This window comes from Homo sapiens, chromosome 11, assembly GCF_000001405.40.
Source record: "Homo sapiens chromosome 11, GRCh38.p14 Primary Assembly".
Taxonomy (NCBI): Eukaryota; Metazoa; Chordata; class Mammalia; order Primates; family Hominidae; genus Homo; species Homo sapiens.
This window is the reverse complement of record NC_000011.10, coordinates 122647534-122666174: the sequence shown is the minus strand read 5'-3', so window position 1 is coordinate 122666174 and position 18641 is coordinate 122647534. Positions and strand designations below refer to the sequence as shown.

The 18641-nt window shown below is 49.3% G+C and overlaps 1 protein-coding gene across 2 annotated transcripts in view, besides 2 other annotated features; it reads right to left on the bottom strand.

Annotated features, from left to right (window-relative positions):
- Window positions 1-10453, bottom strand: part of UBASH3B (ubiquitin associated and SH3 domain containing B) — a 158752-nt gene extending 148299 nt beyond the window's left edge. For both annotated transcript variants that reach the window (NM_001363365.2, NM_032873.5), the window contains exon 1: window positions 9965-10453. In NM_001363365.2, coding sequence (NP_001350294.1) covers window positions 9965-10016 — 52 coding nt within the window. In that variant the 5' untranslated portion in view covers window positions 10017-10453. The remainder of the gene's footprint in view (window positions 1-9964) is intronic.
- Window positions 9794-9843: a silencer, noted in NCBI's record as "silent region_4009". NCBI's record gives its function as "represses an Ori minimal core promoter by ATAC-STARR-seq in GM12878 lymphoblastoid cells {active_cell/tissue: GM12878}" and the evidence as "EXISTENCE:reporter gene assay evidence [ECO:0000049][PMID:35858748]".
- Window positions 10047-10548: an enhancer, noted in NCBI's record as "H3K27ac hESC enhancer chr11:122526335-122526836 (GRCh37/hg19 assembly coordinates)". NCBI's record gives its function as "activates a minimal SCP1, AML or CMV promoter by ChIP-STARR-seq in naive H9 embryonic stem cells {active_cell/tissue: H9 hESC(naive)}" and the evidence as "EXISTENCE:reporter gene assay evidence [ECO:0000049][PMID:30033119]".

Sequence of the window (18641 nt, the reverse complement as noted above, 5' to 3'; positions counted from 1 at the left end):
CAAGAAGGTTCACCCAACAAAACCTGAAAGAAATCGGGAGCATGCAGCTGCCTCTGGCCATCTGTGCAGTCGGCTTCCCCCTGGCATTTTCCAGACTGCCATGAGAGGCTACAGCGGTGGTTCTTTCAGCTTCCCACTCTGCACGAGAACAGCCTTGGTCCTGGTGGAGTTCACTGCCACAGTTGCTTTATGTACAAGAATGTTTATGCTTCCACAGAGGCCGGGAGCACAACGGGAAGTGTCACCCAAACAGCTGGTGACTCCACAGAAGGGAAGATGTCCCTTTAATTTAAAAGGTGCCCCTGAGCAATCTATTTGCCTCAGGTGCTGGGCTCAAGGCACTACCTTCCTCTTATTTAACCAGCACTTTGGTTGTATTTTGCAAGAAAACAAATTGTTTGTTTTTGTTTTGTACCAATTTGAGAATTATACTATTGCATACTAGTAAACGGCTCCCCACCACTGTAATTGCCTCATATCTTTCTTCCTTTCCGTTTATTTACTCTCTAAAATATCAAGTCCTGAAGAGTTTTCTTTAAAGGGAGAGGAGAAGAATTTGACCATAAAGCACTGTGAAAAACAAAACAAAAACAGGAACAGAAAAGCCAAATGCTCTGGAACAGAGAAGCACACCCATGAAGCAGTGAGAGCATCCTCGTGCTGTCCAAAAACACTGGTCCAGGCTGGGCGCAGGGGCTCATGCCTGTAATCCCAGCACTTGTGGGAGGCTGAGGCGAACGGATCACTTGAGCCCAGGAGTTTGAGACAAGCCTGGGCAATGTAGTGAGACCCCCATCTCTACAAAAATAAAAATAAAATAAATTTTAAAATTATCCAGGTGTGGTGGGGCACACCTGTAGTTCTCACTGTTCAGAAGGCTGAGGCAGGAGGATTACTGGAGCCCAAGTGTTCGAGGCTGCAATGAGCTAGGATCGTGTTATTGCACTGTAGCCTGGGAGACAGAGTGAAACACACACGAGCCGGGCGCAGTGGCTCACACCTGTAATCCCAGCAGGCCTCAAAAAGGCAGGCCTAGGTCAGGAGATGGAGACCATCCTGGCTAACACGGTGAAACCCCGTCTCTACTAAAAATACAAAAAAATTAGCTGGTATTGGCGGGCGCCTGTAGTCCCAGCTACTTGGGAGGCTGAGGCAGGAGAATGAAGTGAACCCGGGGGGCGGAGCTTGCAGTGAGCTGAGATTGCGCCACCGCACTCCAGCCTGGGCGACAGAGCGAGACTCCGTCTCAAAAAAAAGGCAGGCCTGCCCTCCGAGGGTCACTGTGGAGAACGTGCAGCCAGCTCAAAAGAGCAGTTGACTTCAGAGTGCCAGATGGGAAAAACCTGACATTTACCTTTTCCTCCGGAGAACTGCACAGAATTTAGCAGGGTGCTGCATGCACAGTAAGAGCTCAGACAGTTTCTGGATGTTCATCTAGGACACTTCACCATGGGCCTCACCGTCATAGATAGTAAGTGGCAAAGAGCATGACTGCAAAGTCACCAGGAAAACAGGGATGTGAGCAAGATGAAACAAGAAAAGGGATCACCTATCACATACCGAGGGCCCCGGGCAGAGGGTCCAGAGGACTGCGATCACTGCCACATCTACCCACCCATCCTCCAGGGAAAAGAGAAAAACCACAGATTCTCCATAAGCCTTTGGGCAAATAGAAAGTGGCCCCTGGGAGAATCCATCCATGAAAATGACAAAAGTGTTCAGTTCAATGAGGATCATAGTCATCTCATTCTTCTGGCAATGGCTCTGCATTCTGCTTGGCTGAGTCTGTCACCCTGCAGAGAGGATCCATTCTTGAGTGTGGTTTTTTCTCCCCACTCTCTCTCTTAGGCTTGAGTCTGATTCCATTTGAAAGTAATCAGAAGACAACCATATGGTACCCCTTCCAGTCCCCAGCCCCTGCCATTTATTATAGTCAGCAGCTTGGGTGGTGCTCTCTCTGCCCTGGGTCTGCTTTTTCTCAGGCCCCGCACCCCTCTGGGCACTCTAGAGAGAGAAGCACAGAGAGCAGAATGCAGTTATCAGGGAGAAAGCATCCACTGGCCTCTGCCCTATCTTACAGCCTTATACCCAAAGCTCAGTGAGGAACAGAGAACCATAAAAGTGGAAGGCGACCAAGGAACCAAACCACAGAGGGAGCCATGTGGAGTAACATCACCACTTGAGTAGCACTAATACCGACCTCATTTCTGAGGGTGTGCCCAATGCCAGGCGCTCTCCAGCTGTTTGCGTGGTTTGGCACCCTTCTCTCACAAAGGTCCTTCAAGACAAGTGCTGTTATTGTCTGCATTGTACAGACAGGAAAATTGAGGCTTAGCATGTTCAGCAACTTGCCCAAGGTCAGTCCCTCAGCTGGTAAGAGGCAGAGCTGGAATTCAAAGCCAGGCTGCCACAAGTTCAGACTTCTGTCTATCAGGGCAGGATGGATGGGGCAGATAATGATGGGGTCTCTTCAGCTTCTGGATGGCCAAGAAAGGAGATACCCTTACACAGGCTTATGCCGGCTGGGATTGGGGAGGCAGTGATAGTACCACCACATCATCATCAGCTGGAGCAAAGCTGGCGGGAGACACAGGATTCCCTAGGTTGGCTGCCTCTCTGAAAAGCAACGCCTTTAGCTCTGCGAATGACTGTCCACTCCCTGAAAGGGAGCTGGACTTTGAGGCAGCTGAGGGTGGGGAGCAGGTGGTGATCAAAGCCACAGGATAGAACAGTGAGGCAGGATACTCTTCAATCTCTGTAGTACTTAATCTTCCAAACCTCAGTTTCCTCATTAAATTATCAATGTCTGAGACTTAATAGTGATTATGTATGTGACTCTGCTTTGTAAGCTCGAACATGGTCTAAAAACTTAAGGTATTATTAGAAATTCTGGCGTAAGGCCAGGCGCGGTGGCTTATGCCTGTAATCCCAGCACTTTGGGAGACCAAAGCAGGCGGATTGCCTGAGCTCAGGAATTCGAGACTAGCCTGGGCAACATGGTGAAATCATGTCTCTATTAAAATACAAAAAATTAGCTGGGCATGGCGGCATGTGCCTGTAGTCCCAGTAACTCAGGAGGCTGAGGCAGGAGAATTGCTTGAACACGGGAGGCGGAGGTTGCAGTGAGCCGGGATTGTGCCACTGCACTCCAGCCTGGGAAACAGAGCGAGACTCCATCTCAAAAAAAAAAAAAAAAAAAAAAGACATTAGCGCGTAAGAGGGAATTTTCATAGAAGCTGTGTGCAAGGGGTTATAATTACCCTACTAGCACATCCAAATACCTGAAGGTCTACTCAGCAATTAAAAGAGATAAACTATTGATACATGCAGGATGAGTCTAAAAAATATGCTGAAGGAAAGAAGCCAAGTACAAGGGTATGCACTGTATGACCTACATGCAAATCTAGGAAATGCAAACTAATGTACAGTGAAAGAAAGCAACTGGGCTGGGCGTGGTGTCTCATGCCTGTAATCCCAGCACTTTGGGAGGCCGAGGCGGGCGGATCACCTGAGGTCAGGAGTTCGAGACCAGCCTGACCAACATGGAGAAACCCTGTCTCAACTAAAAATACAAAATTAGCCAGGCGTGATGGTGCATGCCTGTAATCCCAGCTACTTGGGAGGCTGAGGCAGGAGAATCACTTGAACCTGGGAGGCGGAGGTTGCATGCAGTGAGCTGAGATCGCAGCATTGCACTCCTGCCTGGGCAACAAGAGTGAAACTGTCTCAAAAAAAAAAAAAAGAAAAGAAAAGAAAAAGCGACTGGTGGCTGCTCAGGGTTGGGGGTTGAGAGAGGACTAACCACAAAGGGGTACAAACGAAACTTTTAGGGGCAGTGAACGTACTGTGTCTTGTAGCAGGTAATCACACAGGTACAGTTGTCAAAATGTATCAATCTTTAAATAGGGTTAGCTGATTGTACATGAGTTATAACTCAAAAAAGTTTTTTTAAAAAAAGCACATCGGCTGGCCGGGCAGGGTGGCTCCCACCTGTAATCCCAGCACTTTGGGAGGCCAAGGCGGGATGATCACTTGAGGTCAGGAGTTCGAGACCAGCCTGACCAACATGATAAAACTCTGTCCCTACTAAAAATACAAAATTAGCTGGGCATGATGGCACATACCTGTAGTCCTAGCTACTTGGGAGGCTAAGGCAGGAGAATCACTTGACACCTAGGAGGCAGAGGTTGCAGTGAGCTGAGATCACGCCATTGCACTCCAGCTTGGGCAACAAGAACGAAACTCTGTCTCAAAAAAAAAAAAAAAAAGAAAAAAAGCATATCAAGGTATTTTTTTTTTTGTTTTTTTTTTTTTTGGAACCAGGACCTCGTGTAGCCTGGAAAGTTCAGGAGACTTGCAGTTTAGCCTGAGGCTCTTATGGCAATGCAGTCCCTGCATACCAACTGTGTGACTCTAGACACGTCCTGAACTCCTCTAAGCCTCCAGTCTCATCTTAAAACAAAGCATATGTTGTGTGCTTTACCTCACAAGACTGCTGTGGGGTATCTAATACACATAAGAGCAATTTTTACAGTGTATAATAACACAGATAGAAGGGCGTGTTATGTGGGTGCACAGTCACAGCAGGTAGATTAGAGACTTCCTTGCCCTGCCCACCTATAAGAGCCCTTCAGCTCCAGGTGGGTTCCAGTTTTTCCTCTTTCTGTCTATCCAAGGCTGGGAAAGCAGCTGCAGCCCCCACGCCAGAGTCAGCTACATTTCAGAGATGTTGGGTTGGCCAAGTGTTCTCAGAGGATCCAATGTCAACCAACAGGTAAGCTGGAAAAAGCCAGGGAAACCAGATACTTTAATTCATGGGCTCCACATGCCGCTTCTCAACTCCTCATGCAGCCAACTTGGAGCTGCTTTTATCTTTGGGCAGTGAGGCATAGCTAACACAGCTTACTGTCCAAAGCCAAGTCAAAAGCGCTCATTCCAGCTCTTTCCTTCTGCCACTGCCTTGCTCTTTAATTTGGCATTGTTCAAATATTCTCAGTAGAAAAAAAAGGACAATCCAATAATACACGTAAATCCTCGCCAGACACCTCAACCACCATCTCACCTCCTCTCCCTTCTTGCAATCCAACACAATAATGCCCCAATCACATCTTGCATCCTGATCCTATCTTTAACTTTCCCAAGTTCTTTTCTGTCTGTTATCTCATTTTGTCTTTGGAAAGGCCCGTGACACATGACAGGTCTTGCCACGCACAGAAGCTGGTGAAGATATTAAGGAAAAGAGGTTAAATAGAAGACCTAAAAGGTGCAGATATCATTCAGAAGCTAGACCAGACCTTAGGACCTTTGATCCCTGCCACAGTGTCCTTCCCAAGACTATTATCTCTTAATCACTGGAAACATTAAAAAGCCATTTGTTGTAGACAAAGTTCTAGCCACCAGCAGCCTCAAAAAATAAAAATAATAAAAAAACTCATCAGGGTTGTATCAGCAAGGATTCCTCCAATTCAATTATTCAGTGACTTGCTCCAAGGCCCAGCATCAGCCCCAAGCTACAGAAGAGATGAGAGCCTGTCTCCCCAGAAACCAGAGGTCAGCAGGGGGATGACAGTGCTCTGACATCGGATCTGGCTGTGCAAAGTGATGGCTCTGATCTGAGTCCTGTCCCATCTTCTCCGGTGTTAGGCTCAGACCCTCTCCTGGCCTGTGAGGTCTCCTCTTCCTCAGGTCTTTGCCCCCAATACATTCTTTCTTTTCCTTCCAACCAACCTCACTAGCCTCAAGGAAGCTGGACCCTTATTTTTAGAACCCTTAAAACAGGGAAGTGCTAGTGGGCATAGAAAAAAGGAAGCGATTGGCCATTTTGACCTTTGAAAGGTTTCCTTCCTGATGCCTCCCGAACACCTCCTTAACTTGGACTTGCACACGAGCGCACACGCACACACACACCGTGAAATCGCCACTTCTCAGTCCTCCATGAGGCAAATTCTCCTATAGCAGTGTCTAAGTTGGACTGAAGTTCATATAGTGGAATGGAAAAAACCTAGCCCAGCTCCAGGGAGTAATGAGCTAGAGAGAGCACACCCTGAGGTCACCCTGCTTGAGCCAGCCCTGCAGCCCTCTGGTCCTCTTAGCTCTGTCAAGCACTTAACAAGCATGCAGTCATTAATTGCGTTCCCCTCAGAGGGCAACAGCATGGCCCTGAGGGGACTAAGTGACTTTTGCAAGACCACAGCACAGTGCAGCCCAGCACGGGCTGGGTGGGATCCAGCCTTGCTGGCCTCAACCCTCTCTGCCAGCCCACCAAGAGCCTGGCCTGAGTGCCCCTTCTTGGTGCCGCACACCACCAGACCCAGTTACACCCATAGGGGAAACTAGAGCTGTCAGCCCTGGCTGCTGTCACTCTGTCAAAAGGGCCTAGAGCTGTCAGCCCTGGCTAATGTCAGTCTGTCAAAAGGGCCAGGTTTGAGACAACCATCTTACCCCTTCTTAAAGCATCACATCCAAGTCTTCTAGACCCAGGAGACCATCACTGCTCTTTGGGGCTTTGGATTTTCATTATGCTCAGCCCTCCAGGCATAAAGCTCAAGAGAGAAGCTTCTGATGAGCTAAGCCCGATGCCCTTGCTCTTTCTTCTCAACTCTCAAAAATGAAGTTAAATGCCTGTTCTCTGAAGCCTCCGAGGGCCCCTCTTCATACTGGTCTAAGTTACTGGGGGGAAGGCCGACCACATCAGCCTTTCTGGGTTGAAGTAGAGGAGGGAAGCAAGCCTGGGCAAGGAGTCCAACTAGATCAGGTGACCTCCAGGACCTTCACTCCCTTCCAGGCAGAGAATTTAAGAAAAAGAGCAGCAAACCCAACCTCCCTCTCTCCAGGCCTGCTCTTGTTACCTCTTTGGTAAAGAGGGGCAGTGCTAGTAGTAATATAATAATAGCTGTGATAGGCTAAATAATGATCCCCCAAAAGACACCCACATCCTAATCCCTAGAAGCTGTGAATGCCGCCTTATACATTTTTTTTTAAAGGACTTTGCAGATAATGATCTTGAGATGGGGAGATTACTCTGGATTATCCAAGTGGGCCCTAAGTACAACCACATGTATCCTTATAAGAGACATGCCAAGGAAGATTGGACACAGACAGAAAACAAAGACAATTTGACCACAAACGCAGTGATTGGATTGATGCAGCCACAAGCCAAAGAATGCCAGCCCCCAACAGAAGGTAGGAGAGGCAGGGAGTGGATTCCCCTAGAGCCTCCAGAGGGAGCACGGCCCTGCTGATGCCTTGATTTCAGCCCAGCGATACTGATTTTCAACTCCTGGTCTCTACAATTGTGAGAGAATAAATTTCTGCTGTTCTAAGCCACTCAGTTTGTGACAATTTGTTACAGCAGTCACAGGAAGCTAATACAGTAACTAACACTTCACGATTGCTCACTATGTGCCAGGAACTGTTCTAAGCATTTTACCCACATTCAATCATTTCTATCCTGGCCCTACTGGCCCTAGATGGTGTGAGGCCTGGGCTGTGCAGATAGAATACCTGGGTTTGAATCCCAGCTTCACTGCTTACTGTTGTGACCTTGAGCAAGTTATGCAACCCTTCTAAACCTCAGTTGCCCAATTCATAAAATGGGCATGTGGTACCTTCCTCATTGAGTTGCTAGGAGGATAAAATGGGTAATAAAGATATAAGTACTTAGAACAGTATGGAGTAAGTATTCAATACATGCTAGCTATTAGGAGACCTCAGGGGTTAAACAAGCCAAAAATGACCCTTATGCTAATCTGTCAAGACATGTCAAGACCTCCTGGACTCAGAGCAGGAGAAAAGATGTCCCTTTAAAGCTGATTTGAATTTGAATCTCAAATATGACTGAGGAGTTCAGTTAAGTATTTCTTCCCTTAATTAAGCAATTTAGGTTTTTAATGCTGGCCTTATTTCAAAAAAGGCAGTAGCCTGAGACTATGCTAATTCTGCAGCATTCCCCAGCTGACTTCCCCACTCCCACCTCCAGCTTTTTTTTTTTTTTTTTCTTGAGATGAAGTCTCGCTCTGTAACCCAGGCTAGAGTGCAGTGGTGCGATCTTGGCTCACTACAACCTCCACCTACTGGGCTCAAGCGATTCTCTTATCTCAGCCTCCCAAGTAGCTGGGATTACAGGCATGCACCACCCCACCCAGCTAATTTTTGTATTTTTAGTAAAGACAGGGTTTCACCATGTTGGCCAGGCTGGTCTCAAACTTCTGATCTCAAGTGATCCGGCTGCCTCAGCCTCCCAAACTGCTGGGGTTACACCCAGCCCCACCTCCAGTTTTTAAGGAGAGCTGTGCACATTGATCATCCACACCGACGACTTCACCTGAAGCGTCCACACCTGACACACCCCTGCAGAACCCACATTTTCTCCCTGTAATTCTGGTATCAGGAACTGGAGCCCTAGTATTAGGAAGTCGTATTGGGACGTCAGTGGAAGGCAGAAACCATCAGTCCATTTTGCAGCCTTCTAAGGCCACTCCAACGTGTCCCAGCAGCCTGGAGAATAACAAATTCAAGGGTCTACTTTGATTAACAGATTACAACCAAGTTAGTAGAGAATAAACAAGGTTTGCCCAGAGATAAGGGAGGGGAGACATAAAGTTATTGCCTGTAATCCCAGCACTTTGGGAGACCGAGGTGGGTGGATCACCTGAGGTCAGGAGTTCGAGACCAGCCTGGCCAACATGGCAGAACCCCATCTCTTCTAAAAATATAAAAATTAGCCCGGTGTGGTGGCGCATGTCTATGGTCCCAGCTACTCAGGAGGCTAAGGTGGGAGAATCGCTTGAACCTGGGAGGCGGAAGTTACAGAGATTGCGCCACTGCACTCTAGCCTGGCGACACAGCGAGACTCCGTCTCAGAAAAATAAATACATAAATAAAGTTATCACCTGAAAAAAAAATGTGAGAAGGGAAAAAAATAAAAAGGACTTTCATTTACTTGGCCCTCACTGATTAAGTTTGGCCAACTCTCCTGTTCAGGTGCTGTAATTCAAAGATGAAAAGAAGCTGCGCCCAGTCCGGACGCCAGGCCTTGTGTCCCCACCTAAGAAATCTGCACGGCAGGGATTAACCAGGGGAGAAGGGCCTGGCCGCTGGGCCTTGGCTTCCTCTTAGGCAGAGTTCCAGCCCCTGAGACTTGAGCCGACCGGCCTGAGACGACTCCGGCCGCCGCCACCCTATGCTGGCAAACAGGCCTCTCCCCAGCAGGCTCCAGGGGCAGCCACCTGCGCTCTCCCTGCCCTCCCCTACCCCACTCTCCTAGAGGAAGGATGAAGAACAGCTCCCCCTCCTTACTCTCAGGCACCCACAGATTTCTGAGCTGCCGTCACCACTGACGAGAACCCAGGTCCCCTGGAGGGATCGCTTCTCCTTCTGATTCCATCCTCCCCATCAATGAACACGCAGGAACACCCACGCTCCCGCTCCTCCTACTCCAGGGGGAGACCGAACCCGAGAGCGACATCCGGAGCTGGAAGCCGCTGCAACGGGGGCGCCGGCCTCCCTGCCCCGCAGTCTCCCGCCCTTTCCCAGACACCGGAGGATCCCAGACCAGCCCAGTATTCCAGACGGAGAGGGTGCCCGAGTCCTCCGCAGGGCCCCGCCTCCCTAGGCGCTCGGCGCTGGAGACCTAGGGGAGCGCGCGAGAGAAACGCTGAGCTCCACCCGGCTGGGGCGGAGGCTGAGCACTATACCCGGGACTCGAACCCCGCGCCCTCGTCCCCCAGCTTTAGGCATCCCACGGCGAGCCCTGGCCCAACGCCCCCGCGCCGCGTCTTCCCCCGCACCCCCGCCCGGAGCCGAGTCCCGGGTTGCCAGCGCGCCCATCCCGCCCCCAACAGGTCTCGGGCAGCGGGGAGCGCGCTGCCTGTCCCGCAGGCGCTGGGAGGCGAGCCGGAGCGAAGCCGAGGGCCGGCCGCGCGCGCGGGAGGGGTCGCCGAGGGCTGCGAGCCCGGCCACTTACGCGCGGGCTCTGGGGAACCCCATGGAGAGGAGCACGTCCAGCGCCGATCCATGCTTGATGGTGCCGGGGCGCTGTTGGCGGTTCCTCCGGGGGGTGACTTTGCTGTACAGCTCCTCTCTCGCAGCCATGCCGAGCGGACTGGGGTGGCCGTACTGAGCCATGGCTCAGCGGCCAGCCATCGCCAGGGAAGGAGCCCGAGCCGGATGGTTCGGGAAGGAGGAGGGAGTCGGGCTGGGCCAGGGGAGGGGGCTCGGGGACCCAGAGCCAGGCAGGAGGCGGCGGCAGCGGAGGCGGCGCTCCGAGCTTCCCCAGTGTCGGGACTCTGACGCTTCCTGGTGAGGCCACAGGAGCCAGAACGCCGGCAAGCGGCCGCTGCGGGACCAGCCTCAGCCACTCGGGCCCCCGGCTGCCCCCAGCTCTGCGCCTGCAGTAGCCCTGTCTCCTCCGCCCCCTTCCCTCTCCTCGCCTAGCAGTCCGGGAATTTGCAATGAGTAATTTTTGAATGGATCAAAAAGGAAAAGGAGCCTTGTGGGCTGGCCCTGACTTGCCTGTACCCGGGCCCCGCCCCTCTCTTAAAGCGGCCGCGCTGTCCGAGGCTGCTCCGTGCGGGCAAGAGCTGTAGTCGCGCTACTTGGAGACGGAGGATCCCAACCTTATGGGCTGCTTGTGTGCTTCACCTCCCGAGAGTCACCCCCGGCGCCCCAGCCCTCTCCTTGGCTGGCATACCCGCCCAGCTGGGCCTCAAGACAGGAGATCAACCCATCTCAAGTTTCATGTGATTCTAGATGCGGTTATTAATGGAAATTGGGTGAACTGGTGGATGATACTAATGGACCAGAAGGCCAAGCCGTAAGGCCTAGGTAAAAGGTTTTGCTTCTCAAAGATCCTGCAAAACCCAAAGGGTTGTTAGGACCATCGGAAGTTGAGTTCCCAATCAGCCGGCCAAGTGGCTGCACTAAAGACCTACTGCGCTCTACAAGGTTATGGTCAGTGACTGAATAGTGCCTTCCCGGTGGGGCAGAGGGGTTGGGGAGAAGGACCTCAGGTTCTCAGAGGTGGCAGGACCTGGGAGGGGACAAGAAAAGAGGGACAGGGCAGAAAGAAGAGGGAAGGGAAAAAGAAAGGAGGAAGGAGGAGGAGAAGAAGGAAGGGCTAGGAGGGTAGAGGAAGAAGGAACAGAGAAAACATACTTCCTAATTATAAGAGGTGTTCAAAAGGGAACGGGCTTATTTCATTAGGGAGTGGATATCCTGTCAATAAAAGGATTCAAAGACGGACCGAATCACCACTGCACAATAATAAGTGAATTGTATCATAGGCTGGACAAAACTACTCCCACTGCAAAGATGGTGGAAGCCACAACCATATTGATGCCCCATGCCCCACCTGGTGAATTTGGCTGGGGGATGCTAACCCTCTTTCGTTTGGAAACAAAGTCATTGTCTTCAGTCAGGGACAAGGGTCCCACTTGCTATAATGAAAGAGGCAATGAGTACACCCTAACTGATAGTCTTTTTTGGGTAATAATAATAATAAAACCTAACATTTATTGGGCTCTTGTATGTGCCAGTCATTGTGCTAATCGTAATGAATGAACTCACTGAAGTTTTATACTGACCCTAGGAGTGTGTTTAATCATTATCCCAGTTTTACAGATGAGAAAACTCAGCTCAGAGAGGTTGGGGAAGATCATAGAGCTGGTAAGTGCGTAGCTACAGCACTCGTATCCACTGCGGTGCCTTAGACAAGTTACTTCTCTCTACAGCCTAATTTCCTCATTGGTATGGACCGTGGTAACCTAACCTTGCACACACTGGGTTTTCCAGAAATGTCAGTCCGGGCCTGTCCCTGGTTGGAATATGGGGGAGGGATGGTGACCAGCACCCATGGAGTGGCTTTTTGAGGTTGCTTTATAAGGCCTGTGAAGGTTTTACCAGGGGAAATGATACAGTGTAACTCCCTGAGCCCGGAATTGGTTTCCTAAAGAATAGCCAGTGGTGTTTGGAAGCAGGGAGATAAGACAGCTGGAGCTTAAGCAACAATGTGTATTAATTCTGCCTCCTGCTGTACAAAGGATGAGGGAAAATTAATGCTTCCTGGGTAGTAGCTGCTTCCAGAGCAAAGGGGATATCCTGGAGACCTTGCAGAATGCTCTTCCAGGACATGGAGCAAAAAGACAAGACTGGGCTGGCAACACCATACCTAGTATTAGCCTCCTTGGATGTGTTCGGTAAAACATGCTGGATTTTATCCAGTATTCTGAATTGTTTCCAAATGCCTGGGCTGAAAGTCAAATGATCTGGATCTTAGTCAAGAGATAATAATGTATGTGAAAGCGCTTTGTAAACCATAAAGCGCTACATAAATGATAACTCAAATTTATTGAGTACTTACTATATGCTGGTGTTGTTCTTTGCTTCTTACATATGTGACTCAAACAATTCCTTGACAAGACTATGAACTAGGAACTACTTTACAAATGAAGGTGCTGAGCCAGAGGTCAAGTATCTTGTCCAAGGTCACATGGCTAGTAAATGGCAGAGCCAAGATTTGAACTCTTAACATTTGGCCAAACAACTAGTTAACGACCATTGTTATGATGATAAAAGGACACCAGCCTTTAAGATAGTTTTTTGACTCCATCTATGCCCCTTGACATAGAATTGCTGGATCTCTGTTTCTCCAGAAAAATTGAATTAATTGTCTTTCTCCCTGCCTTTAGGCAAACTGTAAGATAAAGGAAATGATGCATATAAAAATAGTTTTAGGTAGACTGGAAAAAGCACTATGAAAAACTAGGCACCTGAGATGCAAACTGTTTTTGTCTGGGACACTTTTACAGAAATCCCAGCTTGGCTTCCTCACTTGTCTTCAGCTCAGTGCAAACCCCTGTTTTATTTAGGACTCCTGCCATTTGTTCTGCACTGGGTTGGGGGGCTGGCAATTCAGATGCATTGTGCTTTAATTGTGTTGACGTTGAAAAGCTAGGAAAAGCTTCATAAATGTCTACACTGTTCTATTACAAAGAGAGAAGAGGGGGGCTGGGTGCGGTGGCTCACCCCTGTAATCCCAGCACTTTGGGAGGCTGAGGTGGGCGAATCACAAGGTCAAGAGATCGAGACCATCCTGGCCAACAAGGTGAAACCCAATCTCTACTAAAAATACAAAAATTAGCTGGGCATGGTGGCATGTGACTGTAGTCCCAGCCACTCCGGAGGCTAAGGCAGGAGAATCGCTTGAACCTGGAAGGCGGAGGTTGCAGTGAGCTGAGATCATGCCATTGCACTCCAGCCTGGTGACAGAGCAAGACTCCATCTCTAAACAAATAAATAAATTGAGAGAAGAGAAATGACTATTCATCTGGCAGTATATCTTACAGTGGCCAAAAGAAGTGAGATGGGAGTAGGGGTCTTGCACAGGGACAGAGCTGACACATCAGCATGAAGTTCCTCCCTCAGAAGGGAAAGCAAGTTGACATGTCTCCGTGTGTGGTCATGTCAGAATCCACTCTGGACCACAAAGCTCTCTTTGTTCATGTGAGCATGTTTAACCCTCCCTCATTGGCCCCTGCCATATTTTTGCTATGGTACATCCTCTCAGATGGCCAGAGGGAGACCCAGGATGGACCCAGTTGGCTGCACTCACAATTTCTGAAGCATGTCCTATATCTTCTCCTTCTCCTTCACTCTGTCCTTGAGGAACGGTCAAGTAATAACAATAAGAACATGCAGTAGGTCTGTAATTCTAGTACTTTGGGAGGCTAAGGCAGGTGGGCAGATTGCTTGAGCTCAGGAGTTTGAGACCAACCTGGGCAAAATGGTGAACCCCATCTTAATTAAAAATATAAAAATTAGCCCAGCATGGTGGTGTGTGCCTGTAGTCCCAGCTGCTTGGAGGGCTGAGGCAGGAGGATTGCTTGAACTTGGGAGGTCGAGGTTGCAGTGAGCCAAGCTGAGATGGCACCATTGCACTCCAGCCTGAGTGACAAAGTGAGACCCTGTTAAAAAAAACAAACAAGGCCTGGCGCGGTGGCTCATGCCTGTAATCCCAGCACTTCGGGAGACCGAGGCGGGTGCATCGCGAGGTCAGGAGTTCAAGACCAACCTGGCCAAGATGGTGAAACCCTGTCTCTACTAAACATACAAACAAATTAGCCAGGTGTGGTGGCAGGTGCTTGTAATCCCAGCTACTCGGGAGGCTGAGACAGAGAATGGCTTGAACCTGGGAGGCAGAGGCTGCAGTGAGCTGAGGTCACGCCCGCCACTGCACTCCATCCTAGGCAACCGAGCGAGACTCCGTCCCAAAACAAAACAAAACAAAAAAACAAACAAATAACAACAACAACAAAAACAGGCAGTAAAGTCTGCCCACTGTTTCAAATCCTAAAGGCTGGGGTGTTGCCTTGCCAAACAAAGGCAGCTTTGGAACTGCTGGGAATGACTTTCACCCCTAGACTTTAAGGGGATCCTTCGTGGTCAGAAGATTTTGAAACCATGTGCTGCCCCTCTCTGGGCCTCAACTTCCTTGCTTGCCAAATGAGGGGATTAGCTTAGCCTGGGGATCGCTAGGATTTTGTCAAGGGACCCCCAGGAACTTTGAGGGACAGGGGTTGGGGTCACCCAACTGAGGATTAAGAGGGTAGTGTGGTATCCTCTTTTCTTTCATTGTAAGTCTATCAGCTTTATATGTTGGGAGTTTTTTTGTTTTTTGTTTTGTTTGTTTGTTTTGAAACGGAGTCTCTCCCTGTCACCCAGGCTGGAGTGTAGTGTCACGATCTCAGCTCATTGCAATCTCTGCCTCCCGGGTTCAAGCAATTCTCCTGCCTCAGCCTCCCAAGTAGCTGGGATTACAAGCATGTGCCATCACGCCCAGCTAATTATTGCATTTTTAGTAGAGACAGGGTTTCACCATGTTGGCCAGGCTGGTCTCGAACTCCCAACCTCAAGTGATCTGCCCGCCTCAGCCTCCCAAAGTGCTGGGATTATAGGCATGAGCCACAGGGCATGGCCAAGATCTAATTTTTTTAAGTGTTTTTTTCTTTCCTTTTTTTTTCTTTTGTTTTGTTTGTTTTGCTTTGTGTTTTTCAGGGTCTTGCTCTGTCACCCAAGCTGGAGTGCAGTGGTCTCAACTTGGGCTCAAACTATCCTCCCACCTCAACCTCTTGAGTAACTGGGACTACAGGTGTGTCCCACCATGCCCAGCTTCTTTTTTTTTTTTTGGAGAGATGAGGTCTTGCTGTGTTGCCCAGGCTGGTCTTGGACTCCTGGACTCAACTGATTCTCCTGCCTCAACCCTTCAAAGTGCTGGGATTATAGGCATGAGCCACCACACCTGGTCCCAAGATCTCATTTTGAATAGACTTGTTTTGTTTTGGGTAGAGACAAGGTCTTGCTATATTGCCCAGGCTGGTCTCTACCTCCTGGCCTCAAGTGATCCTTCTGCCTTCCTCTCAGCCTCCCAAGATGCTGGGATTAAAGGCAGGTGAACCACCTCTCCCAGATGAATAGACGTTTTTAAATGTAAATTTAGGCTAGATGTGGTGACTCATGCCTCTAATCCCATCACTTTGGGAAATCAAAGCAGGAGGATCCCTGGAGCCCAGGAGTTTGAGACCAGCCTGGGCAACATAATGAGACCCTATCTTTATTAAAAATAATAATAATAGACCTGGCACTGGCCAGGCGCAGTGGCTCACACCTGTAATCCCAGAACTTTGGGAGGCTGAGGGGGTCGGATCACCTGAGGTCGCGAGTTCGAGACCAGACTGACCAACATGGAGAAACCCCGGCTCTACTGAAAACACAAAATTAGCCGGGCATGGTGGTGCATGCCTATAATCCCAGTTACTCAGGAGGCTGAGGCAGGTGAATCGCTTGAACCAGGGAGGGAGAGGTTGCAGTGAGGCGAGATCACGGCATTGCACTCCAGCCTGGTCAACAAGAGCAAAACTCCATCACACACACACACACACACACACACACACACACACACACACACACACAAAATAGATCGGACACAGTGGCTCATGCCTGTAATCCCAGCATTTTGGGAGGCTGGGGTGGGCAGATCACCTGAGGTCAGGAGTTTGAGACCAGCCTGGCCAACCTGGTGAAACCCCATCTCTACTAAAATACAAAAATTAGCTGGTCATGGTGGTGCATGCCTGTAGTCCCAGCTACTTGGGAAACTGAGGCAGAAGAAGTGCTTGGACCGGGGAGGTGGAAGTTGCAGTGAGCTGAGATCGCACTATTGCACTCCAGCCTAGGTGACAGAAGGAGACTCCGTCTCAAAAAAATATAATAAATAAATAATTAAAAAAAAAAAAACAGACCAGGGCTCACATCTGTAATCCCAGCACTTTGGGAGGCCAAGGTGGGAGGATCACGACGTCAGGAGATAGAGACCAGCCTGGCCAACATGCTGAAACCTCGTGTCTACTAAAAATACAAAAACTAGCTGGGTTTGGTGGCACATGCCTGTAGTCCCAGCTACTCAGGAGGCTGAGGCAGGAGAATTGCTTGAACCTGGGAGGTGGAGGTTGCAGTGAGCCAAGATTGTGCCACTGCACTCCAGCCTGGGAGACAGAGCAAGACTCTGTCTGAAAACAAACAAACAAACAAACCCCAATCAAACAAAAAAAATCCAGGACAAGTCTTTGTACAAGTATGGCTCTCTGGATTGGAGACCACCAGTGTTGGCCAGCATCTAAGCAAGGAAGGGACAGGTCACCCTCTTTCTCTTTTCTCTCCTCTCTCCTTCCTTCCAAAAGACTCCTAGGCAAAAGAGATGCTTCATCTCTGGAGGAATCTGATTGTACAAGTTTCCTGTGGTAACTGTAACCGATGACCACAAACTGGGTGGCTTACAACAATTAGAAATGTTAATTTCACAATTCTGGAGGCCAGAAGCTCTAAATCAGAATCCCTGGGCTAACCTCAGGTGTCAGCAGGGCTGCGCTCCCTCTGGAAGCTCTGGAAGGGAATGTATTTCTTGCCTCTTCCAGTTTCTGGTGCCTGCTGGAGTTCTGTGGCTTGTCACTACATCCTCCTAGTCTTTTTAAATATAATTTAATATTTTTTTCCGAGACAGATTCTTGCTGTGTTGCCGAGGCCAGAGTGCAGTGATGCGATCTCAGCTCACTGCAACCTCCGCCTCCCAGGTTCAAGCGATTCTCCCGCCTCAGCCTCCCGAGTAGCTGGGATTACAGGCACACGCCACCATGCCTGGCTAATTTTTGTATTTTTAGTAGAGATGGGATTTCTCCATGTTGGCCAGGCTGGTCTCGAACTCCTGACCTCGTGATCTGCCTGCCTCAGCCTTCCCAAGTGCTGGGATTACAGGCGTGAGCCACCGCGCCTGGCCTCCCCCAGTCTTTAAGGCAGCATCTTCAAGTCTTCTTGTTCTGTCTTCACATCACCTCTGTGTGCATCTCTCTGACATCTCTTTTTACCTTTTCTTTATAAGGACAGTTGTGGTCGCAATTAAGGCCACTTAGATAATCTAGAATAGTCTCTCCATCTCAAGATTCTCAATTTCTTTTTCTTTTTTTTTTTTTAGATGGCATTTCGCTCTTGTCACCCATGTTAGAGTGCAATGGTGCAATCTTGGCTCACTGCAACCTCCGCCTCCCGGATTTCAGCAAGTCTCCTGCCTCAGCCTCCCAGGTAGCTGGAATTACAGGCATGCACCACCACGCCCATCTAATTTTTTTTGTATTTTTAGTAGAGACCGGGTTTTGTCATGTTGACCAGGCTGGTCTCGAACTTCTGACCTCAGGTGATCCACCTGCCTCGGCCTCCCAAACTTCTGGGATTACAAGTGTGAGCCACCACAGCTGGCCTAAGATCCTTAATATCATTACATCTCCAAAAACCCTGATTAGGACTTGCTATCTCCAGGTGGCCATTATTTTACCTACCACACTAGTATTCCTTAGAGCAGCTAATTTTGAGGCTGAATGGGCTTCAAGGTTCAGGAGAAGCTTTTTCAGCCTCATGACTTAGGTTAAGGGGAAGAGATAGATTATGGGCAGGGACAAGAAATGAGTAAGAAAATCATACTTGCCCAAGCCTTTTGGGAAAGGCCATACTTCTCAATTTATGCTGTTCCCTCTGCCTGGAATTCTTCCTTCTTCTGGCCTCCTTTAAGAGGCCTTGCCTGACCTCACTTCCCTTCTTTGCCCACATTGCATAGATGGGGCAGAGAGGGTGGGAAGCAGGACCTCAGGTTCTCAGAGCTGGCAGGACCTGGGAGGGGAGGAGAAAAGAGGGACAGGGCAGAAGGAAGAAGAGGAAAGGGAAATAGAAAAATGGAAGGAGGAGGAGAGGAAGGAAGGGCTAGGAGGGTAGAGGGAGAAGGAACAGAGAAAAGACACTTCCTAATTATAAGACATATTCAAAAGGGAATGGGCTGATTTCATGAGGAAGTGGATATCCTGTCCTCTGTGACCCCTTTATCATAGCACCAAGCACAATGAAGGGCATTTCATTTGCTTAAGTGCTTCTCTCCAGGGTAGAATGGGAGCTCCATAAGGCTCCATGCATCTTTCTTTAGCTGTGCCCTCAGTAGGGGCTTAATAAATGTCTATTGAATGGACTTGAATTGCATTTCAGCTGAGAGGCATCTTGATAGCACAAGTACAGTTGCATTTTCTCTTCTCCCTGGTTTTGAGACCAAA